This window comes from Homo sapiens, chromosome 12 (assembly GCF_000001405.40).
Source record: "Homo sapiens chromosome 12, GRCh38.p14 Primary Assembly".
Lineage (NCBI taxonomy): Eukaryota > Metazoa > Chordata > Mammalia > Primates > Hominidae > Homo > Homo sapiens.
In genome coordinates, this window is record NC_000012.12 from 111,231,283 (window position 1) to 111,249,668 (window position 18,386).

The window sequence follows — 18,386 nt, forward strand, 5'->3', positions numbered from 1 at the left end:
TAAGTGGCACCATACAGTATTTGTCCTTTCGTGACTGGCTTATTTGGCTGAGCTTAATGTCCTCAAGGTTCACACATGTGGTATTACATTTATGTTTAACAAAATTTGTTTAGTTGTAGGTTTATATGATTTAATTTTGTGGCTGTGTTTAACAACCAGATTGCAAAATTTCTGAAAATGTAAAATTGCTTTGTAAGCCACTGCAGGCTGACCCCAGTAAACTACCACAGACAATCCTTGTAACAAGTGAGAACAGAGGTGCAATTGCATGCTTTAGGTCAGAAGTCAGCAGACTGTGGCCATTGGGCTAAAGCCTATCTTTGTAAATAAAGTTTTATTAGAACACAGTCCATTTGTATCCATGGGTTCCATGAACTCAACCAGCCTCAGATCAGCAATATTTTTTAAACCACTAAAAAATAATAGTACAACAATTAAAAATAATATAAATTTTAAAAATACAGTATAACAGCTATTTATATAACATTTACATTTTATTAGGAATCATAAGTCATCTAGAGATGATTTAAAGTATACAGGAGGGGCCAGGTGCAGTGGCTCATGCCTGTAATCCCAGCACTTTGGGAGGCTGGGGCAGGTAGATCATGAAGTCAAGAGATCATGACCAACCTGGCCAACATGGTGAAACCCTGTCTCTACTAAAAATACAGAAATTAGCTGGGTGTGGTGGTGCGCCCCTGTAGTCTCAACTACTCGAGAGGCTGAGGCAGGAGAATTGCTTGAACCTTTGTAAAAGAACACAATATTCTCAGGATTCTCCAGAATATTCAACAACAGCCCAGATGTCAGATAACCAGCCCTGAGTATGACACTCAATCAGTGTCATACAGAGGCAGAGGTTGCAGTGAGCCGAGATCGCGCCACTGCACTCCAGCCTGGTGACAGAGTGAGACTCCATCTGAAAAAAAAATATATATATATATACAGGAGGGTTGGGCACAATGGTTCACACCTGTAATCCCAGCAGTTTGGGAGGCTGAGGCAGGAGGATTGCTTGAGACCAGCATGGGCAACATAGTGATACCCCTTCTCTACAAAAATTTTTTAAAAATTAGCTGGGCGTGGTGGTGCACACCTGTAGTCCCAGCAACTCAGGAGGCTGAGGTGAGAAGATTGCTTGAGCCCAGGAGTTTGAAGCTACAGTGAGCTGTGACAACCACTGTACTCCAGTCTGGGCAACAGAACAAAACCTTGTCTCAAAAAATAAAATAAAATATAAATAAAAGTATACAGGAGGATGTGCGTAGATTATATGCAAACAATACACCATTTTGTATAAAGGATTTGAGCATCGGAGGATTTTGGTATCCTCAGGGTGTCCTGAAATCAATTCCCCATGGATACTGAGGTACGGCTGTTGATAGCTCAGAACCTATCTAGCCCACAAAGATGAATATATCTGACCCCTTACAGGGAAAGTTTGCCAGCCCCTGCTTTTAGGTGTGGAGGGAATGGGAGAAATTTAATCACCTTATTCATTCACATATTCATTCATTCATTTCCTTAGCAAATATTTACAGAGCACCTACTGCCAGGCACTGCTATAGACACAGAAGCAAATAAGACAAAGACGAGTCCCTCACAGAGCTGACCCTTTCGCGGGAAGACAGTTGTAATTCAGACACTCGCACATCAAGTAAATATATAATTCCAACTGTACCAGGGACCTTCCTGGGGCTATGAGAGCATCCTGGGATGTCAAGGAGGGCTTCCAGGAGGAAGTGACCTGTGTATGAATTGAAGCAAGAGTAGGGACATTCTAGTCACAGGAAGAGAGGAACGGCATGCCAGGTAAAAGGAATAGCAGGTACAAATGCCCCAAGGCAGGAGGCAAGTGGGAATTGCAGGGCCTGAAAGCCAATGAGAGGTGGTCTGAGCTCCCAGGTCTGCTCCTGTGCCCTGGCCCCCAGTCTCTCCATATCTGCTCTGCCAAGCACAGCATCATCTTGAGCCAGGTGTCTCTGGCTCGCTGGCCACCATTGCCTCCCTACCCTTGCAGACCGCCTCTTAAATTCTGTTTATTCTCCCTCCTGGCCCTGGAGTCCACACTGCAACAGACAAAGGTTCTTATTTATTTCATTCCTGAGGTTTATAAACTCCTGCCCTATAATAAAATCACTCTCACCACAAGCACAAAATAATAACACTTAATTAAAATACATAAAACCAAAGACTGGCAGAATCCAGTGAAGATTAAAATCAACTGAATCCTACGGCCCAGAACTGAGCAGAGGTCCTGCCCTGAGACCCAGGGACTGAGACACAGAGATGGGGTGAGGGAGATGGGAGGGGGCGGGGGAGCAAGGGGAGTTCCTATTTCTTGAGCACTGATTGAGTGTCATACTCAGGGCTGGTTATCCGACATCTGGGCTGTTGTGGAATATTCTGGAGAATCCTGAGAACATTGTGTTTCTTTTACAAAGGGGAAACTGATACTCTGATTGAGACACCAAGATCACATACTGAGAAGTTGAAGAGCTAGAATTTGAACCCAGGCCTGTCTGCATTAGTCAAAATGGGCTCGTTTCTGTTGTAACAACTTCAAACACAGATGAGGTTACATCACAGTCTAGCGCTGGTTGATAGAAGTTGTGGTGGGGGAGGCTCTGATCCATGCAGTCATTCAGGGATCCAGGCGTCTACCATCATCTGGTAGGTGGGAAAAGAGGAAAACATGATGGCCCTCCTAGGAGGTTCTCAGGGACCAAAACTGGAAGTGGTCACATCATTTCTGCCCACATTCATTTGTCCAGAACTCTGTTACAAAACCATACCCAATTTCAAGGCTATAGTCTAACATTATATGCCCAAGAGTGGGTAAAAAAACAGAATTAAGTTAGCACATAACCCTGTCTGCTGCCCTGTGGACTCCCTCACAGATAGAGCACCTCACTCACTGTCAGGGAATAGGACAGAGCCCTGAATACACAGCCTTGCACACAGTGGTACATTTTGGACAGGTGAATGGGAATGAAACCCAAGAGGCCTGCCAAATTCAGGGAGCAGCAAAGCAGGAGCAAGGAGGGACTGTTAACAATTTGGCAGATGTTATAAAGCTCCTACTATGCATTCTTCCCTGTGCTGAGCTGGCTAGAGAAAGAGATGAACTCTGTTCAGCAAGGAGGCTGAGCCACCATTGGGATCCCATGCCCAAGGTCCACTTAAAAAAAAGCCAGTGTGCAGTAGGAACAAATGTCCCAGGTGTACCAATGAGAGTGGTTATTTTTTGGGCAGGCAATCAGAGAAGACTTCTGGAGGAAGTGAGGTCCCAGCTGAGATTAGGAAGATTGGGCAGGATGGAACATGGGGAATGAAGAGTGGTGGTGAGCACAGGTCTTGGCATCAGGCAGACCTGGGTTCAAGACCAGTTTGAACACCGGTGAGGTGATCTGAGGCAAGCCACTTCCCCTTTCTTTTTTTTTTTTTTTTTTCTGAGACAGAGTCTCCCTCTGTCACCCAGGCTAGAGTGCAGTGGCGTGATCTCAGCTTACTGCAACCTCTGCCTCCCAGGCTCAAACAGTCCTCCCACCTTAGCCTCCCGAGTAGCTGGGACTACAGGCACACACCACCACGCCCAGCTAATTTTTGTATTTTTAGTAAAGATGGGGTTTGGCCATTTTGGCCAGGCTGGTCTGGAACTCCTGACCTCAAGTGATGCCCCCATCTCAGCCTCCCAAAGTGCTGGAATTACAGGCATGAGCCACTGTCCCCAGCCCACTTCCTCTCTTTCTGACCCTCAGTTTTCTCATCAATAAAACGGTACCTAGTACATAGGTTTGTCAAGAGGTTGAGTGAGCTGGTAATGCATATCAAGTGTTCAGCATGATACTAGCACAAAGAAAGCTTAAAATGAATAATTATTCCCGGATGGCTATTTAGTGAGCAGTGCTGGGAGGCGGGGCTGGGGGAGAGGACAAGGCCAGGAAACACACATGGGCAGGACACCAGGGTCCTGAATGCCAAGTTAAGTCTGCAGTTTGTCTGTGGGCAGAGGGAGGTACCACAGAAGCTTTTTGGATATATAAGGAAGGATGACCGGAAACCAAGTTCCAGAAAGATCTCTCTGGAGGTGTACAGGCAGGAGGGGGCTGACTCAGAGTTGGGTTGTGCTTTGGAGCACTTAAGAATGAGACGAGCGGCCAGGCACAGTGGCTCATGCCTGTAATCCCAGCACTTTGGGAGGCTGAGGCTGGTGGATCATGAGGTCGGGAGTTCGAGACCAGCCTGATCAACATGGTAAAACCCCATCTGTACTAAAAATACAAAAATTAGCCAGGCATGGTGGTATGTGCCTGTAATCCCAGCTACTCAGGAGGCTGAGGCAGGAGAATTGCTTGAACTCTGGAGGCAGAGATTGCAGTGAGCTGAGATCGCGCCACTGCACTCTAGCCCAGGCAACAGAGTAAGACTCCATCTCAAAAAAAAAAAAGAATGAGGTGAGCACTAATGATAACCTGGCCTGGGACAGCGACAGAGGAGCAGCAAAGTGGAGACAGGTTTGAAAGAGTTGGGAAGTGGGGATCCAGGTTGATGTGGCAGGTGGAGACAGAGGGTCTGGGGCTCAGGTTTTGGGGGCCAGTGGGACATGACACCATTAGCAGAAGAGGACCTGGCTTCAGGGAAACAAGCCCCTTTGTTGGATACCCAACCTGTGAGATTCAGTCTGGGAATCCTCCAGGAGCCAGTGGGACCTGGCACGGCCCCAGGTCTGCCTCTCGTCAGCCATATGACCTTAGGCAAGTCATCTCCCCTCCTTGAGCCTCATCTTTCCTATCTGGAAAAGGGGGGATAGTATTTGTCCTTCCCTGATAGGGTTGTTGTTGGAGGATTCCATGACACTATGCCTAGCACATAGTAGATGCTCAAGAAATGATCCTTGTTATCACCATCATTTTTCCCATTGAGACCAAACACTGGGCTAAGAAAGGGCTCGTGCTGAACCAACAGATTCCTCAAACACGCTGCAGACCAAGAATACTGTTCCTAGGAACATCAGTAGCCACAGCAGCCAGATCTCCTGGGTCTCAGTATATATCAGGCTCTCTGCTAAGCTTGCTACACATACTGACTTTAGAAATCATTGTCACAAGCCCCTGGGATAGGGGTTATTATTATGCCTGTTGTAGAGATGAGTGACTGAGGCGTAAAGACCAGGCAGGTAGGAGATGGGACGATCAGCGCAGGGGCCTCAGTTACACAGAGCAGATCTGCTTGCAAGGTGGATAATCATGCTCAGGTCACATGGAGTGTCAGGTCCAGCTCTGAACCCCGTGCCCTGGGGTGAGACAGGGAGAGAGAGAGTCTACAGGAGGCTTCAGGACCACAGGCTGAGGCCTGATTGGCACTGGTTCAAGAGAAATGCCCAGAAGACAAGAAAAAGAAATAAATAATACATCGAGAGGCAATAGGAATTTTATGTTCAATATAATAGGGGGAGACCTGGGTTCAAACTCTGCCACTGCACTAGCAGCTTTGAGTTATCAATCTGCGTTTTAGTATTCTTTTCCATGAGGATTTCAAAAATAATTGTCTGAGAAATGTTGCCTCCTAAAAGCGGCAAAAGCGGCTGGGTGCAGTGGCTCATGCCTGTTATCCAGCACTTTGGGAGGCCAAGGCAGGCAGATCACTTGAGTCCAGGAGTTTGAGACCAGCCTTGGCAACATGATGAGACCTCATCTCTACAAAAAATACAAAAATTAGTTGGGTGTGGTGACATGTGCCTGTAGTCCTAGCTACTTGGGAGGCTGAGGTAGGAGGATCGCTTGAGCCTGGGAGGCCAAGTTTGCGGTGAGCCGAAATTACACCATTGCACTCCAGCCCGGGTGACAGAGCAAAACCCTGTCTCTGTAAACAATAATAAAATAAAAATAAAAGAGGCAAAAGTTTTCCAGCATCCAACATAAGGAAGGGTTATTATATCCATCCCCCATCACCTGACAGCTTGACCCCGATTTATCCCAGGTAGCGAGCTGCTGTGCCAGGCTTCTGAGCCTTTGTACATTCTGTTCCCTTCTCCCAGGATGCTTTTCCTCCTCTAAGCCCCCTGGCAAATCCTCAATTGTCCTTCAAGACTCCACTCAAATGTGGCCTTGGCTGTGAGACTTCATGATCCCCTAGGTCCCTGTCCTCACCTGGGCCTCCTGAATGATGGGCGTCCCCACCTTGCCTTCACAACCGTGCCCGACTCGAAGGGCAACAGTGGGCTGTCCACGTCCCTGTCTCTCCTGAACATAACTCAGGCATCACAGAATCCAGCCCCTTGCTTCCCAGATGAATTTATCCAGCAGCCCAAGTGAGCTGTTTAGAAACAGGTATCACATGGCACGCCTCCCTGTTTAAAACCTCTGGGAACTTCCAGTGGTACCCAGAATGAAACCCAGACCTCCGGCCACCACCTCCAAGACCATCTGCTCTCCAGCCCCTGCCTTGCTGCCCACTTGTGCCCCTTCCCTCTTCTCACCCGTCATTGCACTTCTTTGAAAATGCTGTCCTCAACTCAGGGCCTTTGCACCTGTTCTTCCCTCTGCTCTTCCCCTGCCCCCGTTTCTCCCCCTGAATGCAGGGGTTCTGAGTGCTGGCACTATGGACACTTTGGACTGGATGATTCCTTGTGGTGGGGGTGCCCTGTACATTGTAGGATGTTAGCAGCATCCCCCACTCCCCACTAGATGCCAGGAGCACCTTCCTCAGCTGTGACAACCGAAAATGTCTCCAGACGTTGCTAGATGTCCCCTCGGGGACCAAATCACCAAGAACCACTGACCTAACACCTACGTGTCTTTCAGATCTTTGTTCAAGTGTCACTGCCTTGGGAAGGCCTTCATGACTTACCCAAATTCAAGCAGACCTCCCCAGTACATGCCTTCCCAGGACCTTTTACAACGCTTAGCACAGTCTGTAATTATATGTTTGTTTGCCTAATTACTCACATAGTACTTGTCCCTCCCACTTAACCAAAGGAAGGAGGCAGCATTTTGTAGACTGTGATGTTCCTGGGTCCCTCACGGTGCCTGACACACAACAGGTGCTGAGTAAATAGTTATTAAGTGACTGTTGACACATAATAATGTTGGCAGACATTGCTGTAGCCGTTTCTATGTTCCAGACAACACTCTAGGTCTTTTGCAGATACCACTTCATTATCCTCCATGACTCCCCTTTAAGGGAGATGTTGTTATTCTCAACATTTTACAGATGAGATGAATGAGGCACAGAGAGGTTAGGTAACTTACCCAAGGTCACACAGCTGGTGGCATGTGGCAGAGACAAGATTTGAACCCAGGCAGTCTGGCTCAAGAGTCCTTGCCCTTAACTATTATTTATTAAGTGCCTACTATGTGCCGAGCTCTGGGGATACAGCAGTGAACAAGAACTACATAACCTAGTTTTTATGTATATATAAATACATCCACATACACACACACACATGAATTCCACTCAGGTCTCAAAAGGTGGCTCTGGCCAGGCATGGTGGCTCACACCTGTAATCCCAGCACTTTGGGAGACCGAGGCGGGTGGGTCACTTTAGGTCAGGCGTTTGCAACCAGCCTGGCCAATATGGCAAAACTCTGTCTCTACTAAAAATACAAAAATGAGTTGGGCATGGTGGTGCATGCCTGTAGTCTCAGCTACTCGGGAGGCTGAGGCTTGAGAATCCCTTGAACCTGGGAGGCAGAGGTTGCAGTAAGCCAAGATCACACCACTGCACTCCAGTGTGAGTGACAGAGCAAGATTCCGTCTCTAAATAGATAAATAAATAAATGGCTCAATTTACAGGTGCAGACACTCAGGCACAGAGACACTCAAACGTTGGCCAAGATCACACAGCCAGTTGGCAGCAGAACGCCTCTCCTTATTCTAGTCTTTGTGTGTGTCTCCTACTATACCATGTGTCCACAGGCTAGGGACACTTTGACAGTTTAACCAGTCAATTACAATAATATTTTTCTCTCAGAATGTTTAAAAGAAAAAAAAAGTTGGTTTGCAGAAGTATAATCATGGCTCAGAGGCCAAGCTGACATTAGTTATTAATTAGGCCATTATGCATTCCACAGTGATAATTGCCTTGCTGCAGAGTCACCAAGCATGAAACGGACCCAGCACAGAAACACAATCTATCAATCTGAGAAGTCGCAGCCCAGTTGCGTTCTCTCACCTTGAGTCGGGTGTACGCCTTAGCAGGAAACAAAAAGAAATTAATGATACATCGACAGGCAATAGGAAGCCGGACCCCTCACCAGTCCTGGCCCCAGGGTGGTTTTGTACCTGGCTGTAGGGATGGCATTTAAGCAAAGTTTATCATCGAAAATGGCCAATTCCCTTTGATTTAGCTGGTGGCAATCTTTTCATCTCCTTCCCTTTTTTTCCCATCTTGTTATTTAGGGAGAGAGGGAAAAGCCATTTCTCTTCCATCTGTTTGTCTCGCCTGTTGCTTTCTACAATGAGTGGGGTGGGGGAATGGCACCTGCCAGGGCTACCTGGGCCATCAGGAGTAAGTGCAGCATCTCTGTCTGTGTTCTGTGTCTGTCTGGGTTCTATCCCTGGTGTTGGTCGGGGAGGGAAGGAGACCCCCCTGCACCTGGAGCATTATCCTGGGGTCCTCCACAAAGACAGGGTCATTGTCAAGGGCAGCTGGAGGACAGTTTTAAGTGAAAACTTTGGGGTGCAAGAAACAAAAATGCGGCCAAGTGAGCTTCACAGCAGAATTGGTTATAATATTAGCTGTGCGCCAGCTATGCAGACCGTATCCTTCATTTAGTCCTCAGCAGTCCTGTGAGGGAAGTATTGCTATTCTCGCCACTTTACAGATGAAGAAACTGAGGCTTATCAAGGTGAGAGGATTTGCTTGAGGCCTCACAGCCAATGGTGGAGCTGGGATTTGAGCCCAGGCTCACTAGCACAGTGCTGTCCTGTGGCTCTCTGGCATGAGAGGCCAGACAAAGCAAAACTGGGCCTCCCAGAGGGTGGGACAAGCACCCAGGTGAACAGCCCAGAACCAAGGTGGGTGCTTCCCCCACAAGGGCTAGGGTCCCCCCTCCAGCCCTCTCTCTAGTCTGGCTTTCTCAGCTGCCCCATAGACTTTGGTGGAAGGTACCCCCTGACAGCAGCTGCTTACCTTCTGGGTTCCCCCACAGCACTCAAGCTAACAACCCAGACCAGTCAAAATCAACCAGTTCTAAATACAAACTCCCGAGTTAATGAGTATCACCGGTCTAGCCTGAGATCAGTGTCAGCCCCTGGTCCAATCGGCTGAGGTCAGGACAATGCCTCGGTGCAAAAATGGCCACCACAGCCAATCTTAGGGGAGGAAAGAAGATCACAAATGAGCAGCCTGGCCATCCACCTCATCCACCCTCATGTCACTTACCACAGAGTTGTCCTAAAATTGAGTATGAATGCCTTGGATGGAGTCCAGTCTCCCCTCAGCCTCTCTTCTCATCTCCTCTGGGCTACTGCACCTCCTGGACTTAGCTACCTGTGAGGTTCCTGAAGACATTTGGGTTTTTGCTCTCTGGAGGAATGGTGGAGTGATTCTCAGCAAACAGAAATGTTAGGTATCTATTAATACCTCAGGGTCTAGAAAGCTCTGCAGGTGTGCCGATGCCAACCAGCCCCATGTCAGCAGTTGGGCAGAGATGCCACCAGGTAGAGCCACCCAGGAGGCTAGTGGAGAGGGGCCTGTCTTAGTCCGTTTTGTGTTGCTATCATAAAATACCTGAGGCTGGGTAATGTATAAAGAAAAGAGGGTTACTTGGCTCACCGTTCTGATGGCTGCAAAGTTCAAGTTTGGGAAGCCGCATCTGGTGAGGGCCACCTTCCTCTTGGGGTGGTAGGTGGAAGGGGAGAGGGCGTATGCAGAGATCACATGGTGAGAGAGGAAACAAGAGAGAGAAACCAAGGAAGCAAGACTCTTTCACAACCTGCTCTCAGGAAATAATCCATTCCCAAGAGAGGACATTAATCTATTCATGAGAGATCCACCCCCACGGCCCAAACACTTCTCACTAGGCCCCGACTCCCAATACTGCTGCATTGGGGATCAAACTTCAACATGAGTTTTGATGGGGACAAGCCATGTCCAAACCATAGCAGAGCCCAATAGTCTGCAGTTTGTCCAGAAGTCAAGATAAAGAAATACATGCTGCTGAGAATGGGTTGCTTCCAGTTCTAGCCCATTGGAGCCAAGCCCTGATGTCATCTTGTTTCATTCTTCCACATGCTTTTCCTAGGATCAAGACTTAACACCCCCACCCCACCCCCAGGTTCCCTGTGAAAGGGGAGCACCTGCTCCAAGGAGCCCTACTCCAACAGTTGAGAGTTAATTTTCATTTCAAACAACATGGCGGCCAAGACTGGATGTAGACATCCCACGTTGGCCCGACCCCATGGCTCATTCAACCCATGTTTCTGGCCAGGCCCTTGAGGGGCAGCTGGAGCAATCTGCTTCTTCCATGATACTGATCATCAGAACTTGGGCTGGCCAGCTTCCTGGGACCACCCCTGACAGCGTGACACTTTACAAAACTCAGCCTTCAGCTATGCAGTCTTAGGAAGCAGATCTCATGAGCTGACTCCTTATTGTGTGAAGTAGGACTCATGTCTCTGTTCTAAGTTTTCCTCTTTCAATGTACAAGATGGGCTGATAGTTTGAAAAGTCATGAAAAGACCATGTTTTCTCATCCTTGCTTTCTTTGCTTGACAGGGGCAGACATAATTGTTCATCATTTCAACAAATATTTATTGGGCTTCTATTATGTGCCAGATGCTGTTCTAAGCAGTGAACAAAATGTTCTAGCAGAGTATGACAGATCAATAACAGTATCACCTGCTATTTGTTGAGGACCTACTACTCACTTTGACACTGGGCCAAGCCCAATTCATTATCGCATTGAATCCTGGCCTGATACAGAACTGTTATTATCCCCATCTTACAGGGGAGGAAACCTTAAAGGTTGAGTGACTTTCCTAAGTTGCAACAGCAAATAAGTGATGAAACTGAATCCTTCAAGACCAGAGGTTGGCAAATTATAGCCCGTGGGCCAAATAAAGTTTTATTGGAACACAGCCATGCACATTCGTTCACATATTTCCTGCAGCTGCTTTCCCACGACAAGGGCAGAGTTGAGGAGTTGCAACAGAGATCAGGTGGCCTGAAAAGCTGAAAATACTTGCTCCGTGGCTCTTGATGAAACAGGTTTGCTGATCTGTGTTCCTAGATTAGATTTGTAGGCCAGACATGGTGGCTCACGCCTGTAATCCCAGCAGTTTGGGAGACCGAGGTGGGCAGATCACCTTAGGTCAGGAATTCAAGACCAGCCTGGCCAACATGGTGAAACCCCATCTCTACTAAAAATACAAAAATTAGCCAGGCGTGGTGGTGCATGCCTGTAATCCCAGGTACTCCAGAGGCTGAGGCAGGAGAATCGCTTGAACCTGGGAGGCAGAGGTTGCAGTGAGTCGAGATTCCACCACTGCATTCCAGCCGGGGCAGCTGCATCCATCAACCCATCATCTATATTAGGTTTTTCTCCTAATGCTATCCTTCCCCTAGTCCCCCACCCCATGACAGGCCCTGGTGTGTGATGTTCCCTTCCCTGTGTCCATGTGTTCTCATTGTTCAACTCCCACTTACGAGTGTGAACATGAGGTGTTTGATTTTCTCTCCCTGTGTTAGTTTGCTGAATATGATGGTTTCCAGTTTCATCCATGTCCCTGCAAAGGATATGAACTCATCCTTTTTTATGGCTGCATAGTATTCCATGGTGTATATGTGCCACATTTTCTTTATCCAGTCTATCATTGATGGGCATTTTGGTAGGTTTTCTTTTACTCTTTATTATGGAAAAAATCCAGCATACAAAAGTAAAGAGAATAAAATAATTGGTCAGTCCCATGGACCCAGTTTCAACAACTATTCCTGCATAGCCACCTTCCTCTCACACCTCTAGATTATTTTGAAGAAAACTCAAGTCATTGTATCATTTTACCTGTAAATATTTTAGTATATATTTCTGAAAAAAGGAATCTCTTTTTAAATGTAACCACAATATGATCTACCCTCAAAATTTTAATAGTACTTTCTTAATGTCATCAAATACCCAGTGTCCCTGGTTAGCCCTCCCATTTTTTGAAACAGATTTTTGTTTATATCAGGACTCAAATAGGTTCACACATTATGATTGGTTGATGTGCCTTTTTTTTTTTTTTTTTTTTTTTTTGAGACAGGGTCTCGCTCTGTTGCCCAGGCTGGAGTGCAGTGGTGCAATCATAGCTCACTGCAGCCTCAAATTCCTGGGCTCAAGTGATCCTCCCACCTCAGCCTCCCAAGTAGCTGGGACTACGGGCATGCACCACCATGTCTGGCTAAGATGTACCTCTTAAGTAGAGTGATCAACTGTCACAGCTTGGCCCTGGACTGAGGGGTTCCCGGCAAGCAGAACTTTCAGTTTTAAAACTGGGAAGGTCTTGAGGTGCACAAATTTCCATGCTAAAACCAAGAAAGTCCCAGGCAAACTGAGACAAGTTGGTCAAGCCATGTCTTCTCATCTGTAAGCTCCCTGTCCATCCCTTCCTGTATGTGTGTGTGCATGTGTGTTCGTGAGCACATGTGCCTGCTCTTTGTATGTGGAAGTGACCAGAACAGTTTTTCCTAAAAACTTTCCTCTGACTGCAGCTGATTGGACCAGGGGCTGATGCTGGTCTCAAGCTAAGCCAATGATATTCATTATCCCAGGAGTTTGAATTCAGAACTGGTTGGTTTTGACTGGTCTGGGTTATTAGCTTTTTGGGTTTTTTTTTGTTTTTGTTTTTTTAAAGAGGCAGAGTTCCCCAGGCTGGTCTCGAAATCCTGGGCTCAAGCAATCCTCCTACCTTGGCCTCCCAAACTGGGTTGTTAGCATGGGTGCTGTAGGGTGAACCCAGAAGCTGAGGCAGCCATTGTGATGGGCACTTTCCACCCAGGAAGTGTGTGGGGCAGCTGAGAAAGTCGGCCTAGAGAGGGGGCTGCAGGAGGGACCTCACCCCTAGTGGGGAAGTACCCACCTTGGTTCTGGGCTGTTCTTCTGGGTGCTTGTCCCGTCCTCTGGGAAGCCCAGCTGTGCTTTCTCCAGCTCCCCATGTTGTCGCTAGATAGCACTGTGCTCATGAGCTTGGGTTCAATCCCAGCTCTGTCCGGAGCTGCAAGACATTGAGCAAGTTCCGTTACCTCTAGCTGAGATTTTGCTGATCACGACCCCGTGGTGTCATTTAACTTGTTCTTCCATCCTTGTATTTGCTATGTATGAGCAGTTGGATCTAGAGGCATGATCAGGTTCAGGTTCAATGTTTTTAGCAAATCTACTTACAGGTAATGCTGGGCACTTCCATCAGGATTTTCCCAGTGTACAGCCTAGTCAATCCCAAGGCAGGGGCAGGGGGCAATTGGTAGCAAGGTCAGGACTGATCAGAACAGAACAGTTGAGGCTGCCTGGGGTTGCATAAACTCCTCTCCCCCAGGGTGTCAGGAAACCTCAGCCCATGTCATTGGTCATTAATGAAAGCAGAAACCAGATTTCATTGCTGTGCAAGGTAATTAAATTACTTCAAAAATCTACTCACACATGATTATTTCCATGCTTCCCACCAAATACATGCCTCTCCCTCATTTGCTGCCATCCTGGGCTCTTAGCTGGGAGCAATGAAGGCTGTTGTGGGGGCTTCTCAAGGCTGCTTGTCTTTGAGAAACAGAATGAAAAATGGGGTCCCCATCCAAGCCCCCCTACTCTGAGAAATGGAAGCAACTTCTCCCCACAGAGCATAGGGGATACAGCACCATTTGTATTTCCAACCCAAGGTGAACTGTTCTTGGTATTTTTTTCCCTTATAAATCATGTTGTTTCAAAGTTTTGTTCTATGGTATGGCAGGAGGTGAGAAGGAGAGCAGAAAAAATGCTTATATTAAATTGGTGGTGCAGCCAGGCACAGTGACTCACGCTCGTAATCCCAGCACTTTGGGAGGCCAAGGCAGGAGGATCACTTGAGCCCAGGAGTTTGAGACCACCCTGGGCAACATAGTGAGACCCCCATCTCTACCCAAAAAAAAAAATTTTTTTTTACTTTTTTCTTAATTTTTTTCCATTGTTTTGATGCTATCTATCTAGTCATCCAGAAGCACAATTTTTCTTTTTTTAATAAACCAGACATGGTGGCACACCCCTGTGTTCCCACCTACTCCAGAGGCTGAGGTGGGAGGATCACTTGAGCCCAGGAGATCGAGGCTGCAGTGAGCCATGATTACACCACTGCACCAGTCTGGGCAACAGAGCGAGACCCTGTCTCAAAGAAAAATGATGCTGCTGGTATTCCTGGGAAAAAGAGAATGAGAAAACAATAAGGAGCATTCGAGCTAAGAGGTTTTCTCTGCGTTTTGTGTCAGGTGCAAGGGGACAGGGTAGGGACAGAGGAAAAGGAGCTGGGTATGCCCCACCCAAGTGCCTCCTGTTTGTGTCCAGGTCCACAACCTGGACACAAACAGAAAAGTAGGACCAGGGTGGCGTTTCATCCCCAAAGCAGAGTTGCAACCTCAGTTACCCACGGGGGCCTGGCAGGTGCACAAAATGGACAACGCAGGCACAGATGAGACAACAGGGAGGCGTGGGGACTGGGGCAGGTGGGGACTCTGTAAGCCATCTGAAGGAGTGGCCTGTACCCCGCTCAGGCAGATTAAAGCAGTCTGGTCTTGCAGCTCATTTCAGGAGCTGAGAGCACAAACTTCAGGGCCAAGCTGCTCTGTCTCCCGATCCCTACTCTGCCAGCTTTCCTAGCTGCATGACCCGGGGCAAGTCTCTTGACTTCTCTGCGCCTCAGTTTCCTCATCTGGAAAGTAGAAATGATAACCGCACCTGCCACTGGTGTGACACAGAGATTCATATAGTGAACGCCACCATCAGTGACACTGATTGCATGAAATCTGCCATGGTGGGAGTATTTACACCACAGCCATTGGCAGACACTACAAATCAGACCTTTTTTATTTTTTCTCACCAGTCAGCCACTTGTTAAACCTTTACCAGCACAGGCACCTTCCTCACAGGGCTTTTAGGATGATTTCTAGACTTAATACATATAAAGCACTTAAAACGGTGCCCAGCACACTGGCCACCCTCCAATTCACTGTATTCCTCTTTGTGTGATCAATGTGATTATAATGGGGGAACGTGACACTACTGTGGCCACATCTTCCAATTCTTCCAGAGAAGCTGGAAATCTTGATTTTTATGCAAAAAACAAAAATCTCCGGATTCTTAAAGATTGGCTAACATCAATCATTTTTAAAACCTGAGCAAAACAAAGTGCATGTGGAATTTGGACCACAGACTCCACGTTTGCAAAGTTGGACTTAGAGGAATGGACTGTGGGTGTTGTCTGGCAAGGCGAGGTCCTTTCTCACCTCTCACCTTTGTATGCAACTGCTCTCCCTCCTGTTGAATCAACGGCCTGCCTCTCTTGTGTGAGCCTGTGCCTCTTCCTCCTTGAAGCCCTCCTAGCTGTGCCCTGCAGGGTACATGACTCCGTCCTTGACTGTCCCTCCTCAAAGCGCTGCTTCCCTGCCACCCTCTGCTGTGGTCTATGTCTTTCTGACTCTAGGACTGAGGGGCTGGGGCTGTGTTTTGTTCATCTTGGCATAGGGCTGTGTACATCAAGGATCATAATGATAATAAAATCAACATCTATTGAGTATCTTCTGTTTGCTAGGCTATGTGCTAAGCACCTTTTATGTATCATCACCTTAATCCTGATGATAACCCTCAGATGTGGATATTTGTGCCCAAGGCCACAAAGAGGGAGGCATTTACTGGGAATCAAACCCAGGCTCCTCACCTCTGGAGCCCACTGCAGACGGCTGAGTCCATAGCGAGCACCGCACGTGGAAAGTTAGGCAGCAAGGACCCCGGCTAGACTGGGCTGGGATCAGACAGTGGAGGGCATGCATGCCCGGCTGAGGCTCTCCCGGGGCTGTCTCCAGCCACACTCCACAGATACGTCCAGAAAGGACGCTGCTATATTTAAAAGCCTGGGCAGGGTAGCACTTCAGTGACATTTGGGCAGCCGCCTTTCCAGAAAGGGCAGACATGTTCTTTTAGCTCCGCTCTTCTGAGCTGGTATTTCGGAGAACTTGTCAGGATCACTGCAAAGGGGAGGCCGCTGCCACTTGGGATCCCTGCAGCCTTCCCAGAGACATGGCTACTGCAGCACAGGGCTGAGAGAGCACAGGGTGGCGAGAGTTCATGGGCCAGGTCAGGATCACCAAGCCAGGTCAGGGGGCAGCAGGTGTCACTGGGGCCTGGCATGTAGACCCTGGACAGCCCCAAGTCTCAAGAGGGCGCCTGTTGCTGGGGGCAGGATGGGGAGAGGGGTTCTTGGCATTGCTGACCCTCTGCCCACGCTCTGGTTTTTTGGCTTCAGCCCTCATGTTCCAGGGGCGTCCACCCCTCATGTTCCCCCTAGATGATGTCATCTTCTCACACACCCTCACAACCCTTTGGCCAGAAATTCCAAGAACCGTCTGTGGCCTGGCCAACCTCACCCTGTGTTTAACAGTGAACAAAGCATATCTTTTGTTTGTTTGTTTCTTTGTTTTTGAGACAGAGTCTCTTGCTCTGTCACCCAGGCTAGAGTGCAGTGGTGCAATCTTGGCTCACTGCAGCCTCAGACTCTGGGTTCAAGTGATTCTCCTGCCTCAGCAACCGAAGTACAGGTGCCCGCCACCACGCCTGGCTAATTTTTTTTCCATATTTTTAGTAGAGACAGGGTTTCACCATGTTGGCCAGGCTGGTCTTGAACTCCTGACCTCAGGTGATCCACCCACCTTGGCCTCCCAGAGTGCCGGGATTATAGGCGTGAGCCACTGCGTCTGGCCCAAAGCATATCTTTTAACTGCTGGTGTCTTCACACCCCAGCTGGGTCCCGATGTCCCTGCTCTCTAGGTGGGGACACTGAGGCACAGAGTGTTCCAGGAAAGCTGCTAGTTCTTTCTCCACCTAGGCATGCCTCACCACCCAGGAAGTCTCACGTTCCTGCAGGCACCGCAAATGGCCTTTTTCTCCAAGCCCAGGTTGGAACTGAGTCAGAAGGGCCTCTTCTGTGTGCAGGACTCACATGGAGGTTCGGCTGGCAGTTTGCCAGCCATAGGGGGAGGAGGTGGATGCTGCCTGGAAGCAGAAGTAGGACAAGGACCAGCCCTCCTGTTGCAGCATTGTCTGTCTGTCACCCGGCTATGCAATCACTCCTTCAGGGTGGGGGAGGGGCTGGTGGGCTTTGAGAAATTTCAAGGAGGGGGGTGAAGCCAGGATAAAGGGGGTGTCGGTCTAGGCCACAGAGAAACGCTAATGCTCATGGGGCCTGGACGGGCTCACACCCATACGGGGAGCCAAATGCAGACCCTCAGCCTGTCCCAACAGACGGCTGACACCCAGCTCCAGGTGGCCGCTGTCGATGGAAACATGGGCCCAGGGTGGCCAGATCCTCTAATTTCCCAAGAGAAGCCAGCAATTTGGAACTCTTCTGGTTTTTAAATACTGGCTCAATATATATGCACATATTTTCATGCTCACAGGACTTTATGGAGGTATAATTTACATACAGTAAAATGCGCAAATCTTAAGTGTATAACTTGATGAATTTTGACAGCTCAAATATTTTTAAAACACTGGAGGGTCCAAGAAAATATGTTGTCCATGGGGTGCATCTGGCCGTGGACCCACCATCCATGGCCCCCAGTCTCGTGTGTCGTGTGACCCCCGTGAACGAGGTGGGACACACATGTGCAGGGAGCACACATGGCAGTATCCCATGGGGAGGGGCAGGCTTTGGCAAGAGCCCAGTGATCATGCATCATCCCTTTACTCACACAGCGCAGAGAACAGGCTCTGGAGCCCGGGCTGGAAATCCGAGCTCTGCCACTTGCTGTGTGACTTTGCACACGTTTCCCCACCTCTCTGAAGGCTCATTTTCCCCATCTGTGAAATGAGGAAGAGAAGGATACGGACCCCAGGGCTCTTGCACAGATTCACTGAACTGACATGATAAGCACTGAGAAAAAGTCCCGGGTGCTATTGCCTTTTTTTTTTTTTTTTTTTTTTTAAATTAATAGACCCTTTTTTTGTTTTTTTTTTTTTTTTTTTAGTGGGGTTGGAGACAGAGTCTCACTCTATTGCCCAGGCAGGAGTGCAGTGGCATAATCTCGGCTCACTGCAACCTCTGCCTCCCAGGTTCAGGTGATTCTCCTGCCTCAGCCTCCTGAGTAGCTGGGATCACAGGCACGCGACACCATGCCCAGCTAATTTTTGTATTTTTAGTAGAGACAGGGTTTCACCATGTTGGCCAGG

At 48.3% G+C, this 18,386-nt stretch overlaps 1 protein-coding gene across 7 annotated transcripts in view, besides 1 other annotated feature; it reads left to right on the forward strand.

Annotated features, from left to right (window-relative positions):
• Positions 1-18,386, forward strand: part of CUX2 (cut like homeobox 2) — a 316,390-nt gene that overhangs the window by 197,118 nt on the left and 100,886 nt on the right. The gene's annotated exons all lie outside the window — the stretch shown is intronic.
• Positions 17,667-18,334: an enhancer, noted in NCBI's record as "H3K4me1 hESC enhancer chr12:111686753-111687420 (GRCh37/hg19 assembly coordinates)". NCBI's record gives its function as "activates a minimal SCP1, AML or CMV promoter by ChIP-STARR-seq in primed H9 embryonic stem cells {active_cell/tissue: H9 hESC(primed)}" and the evidence as "EXISTENCE:reporter gene assay evidence [ECO:0000049][PMID:30033119]".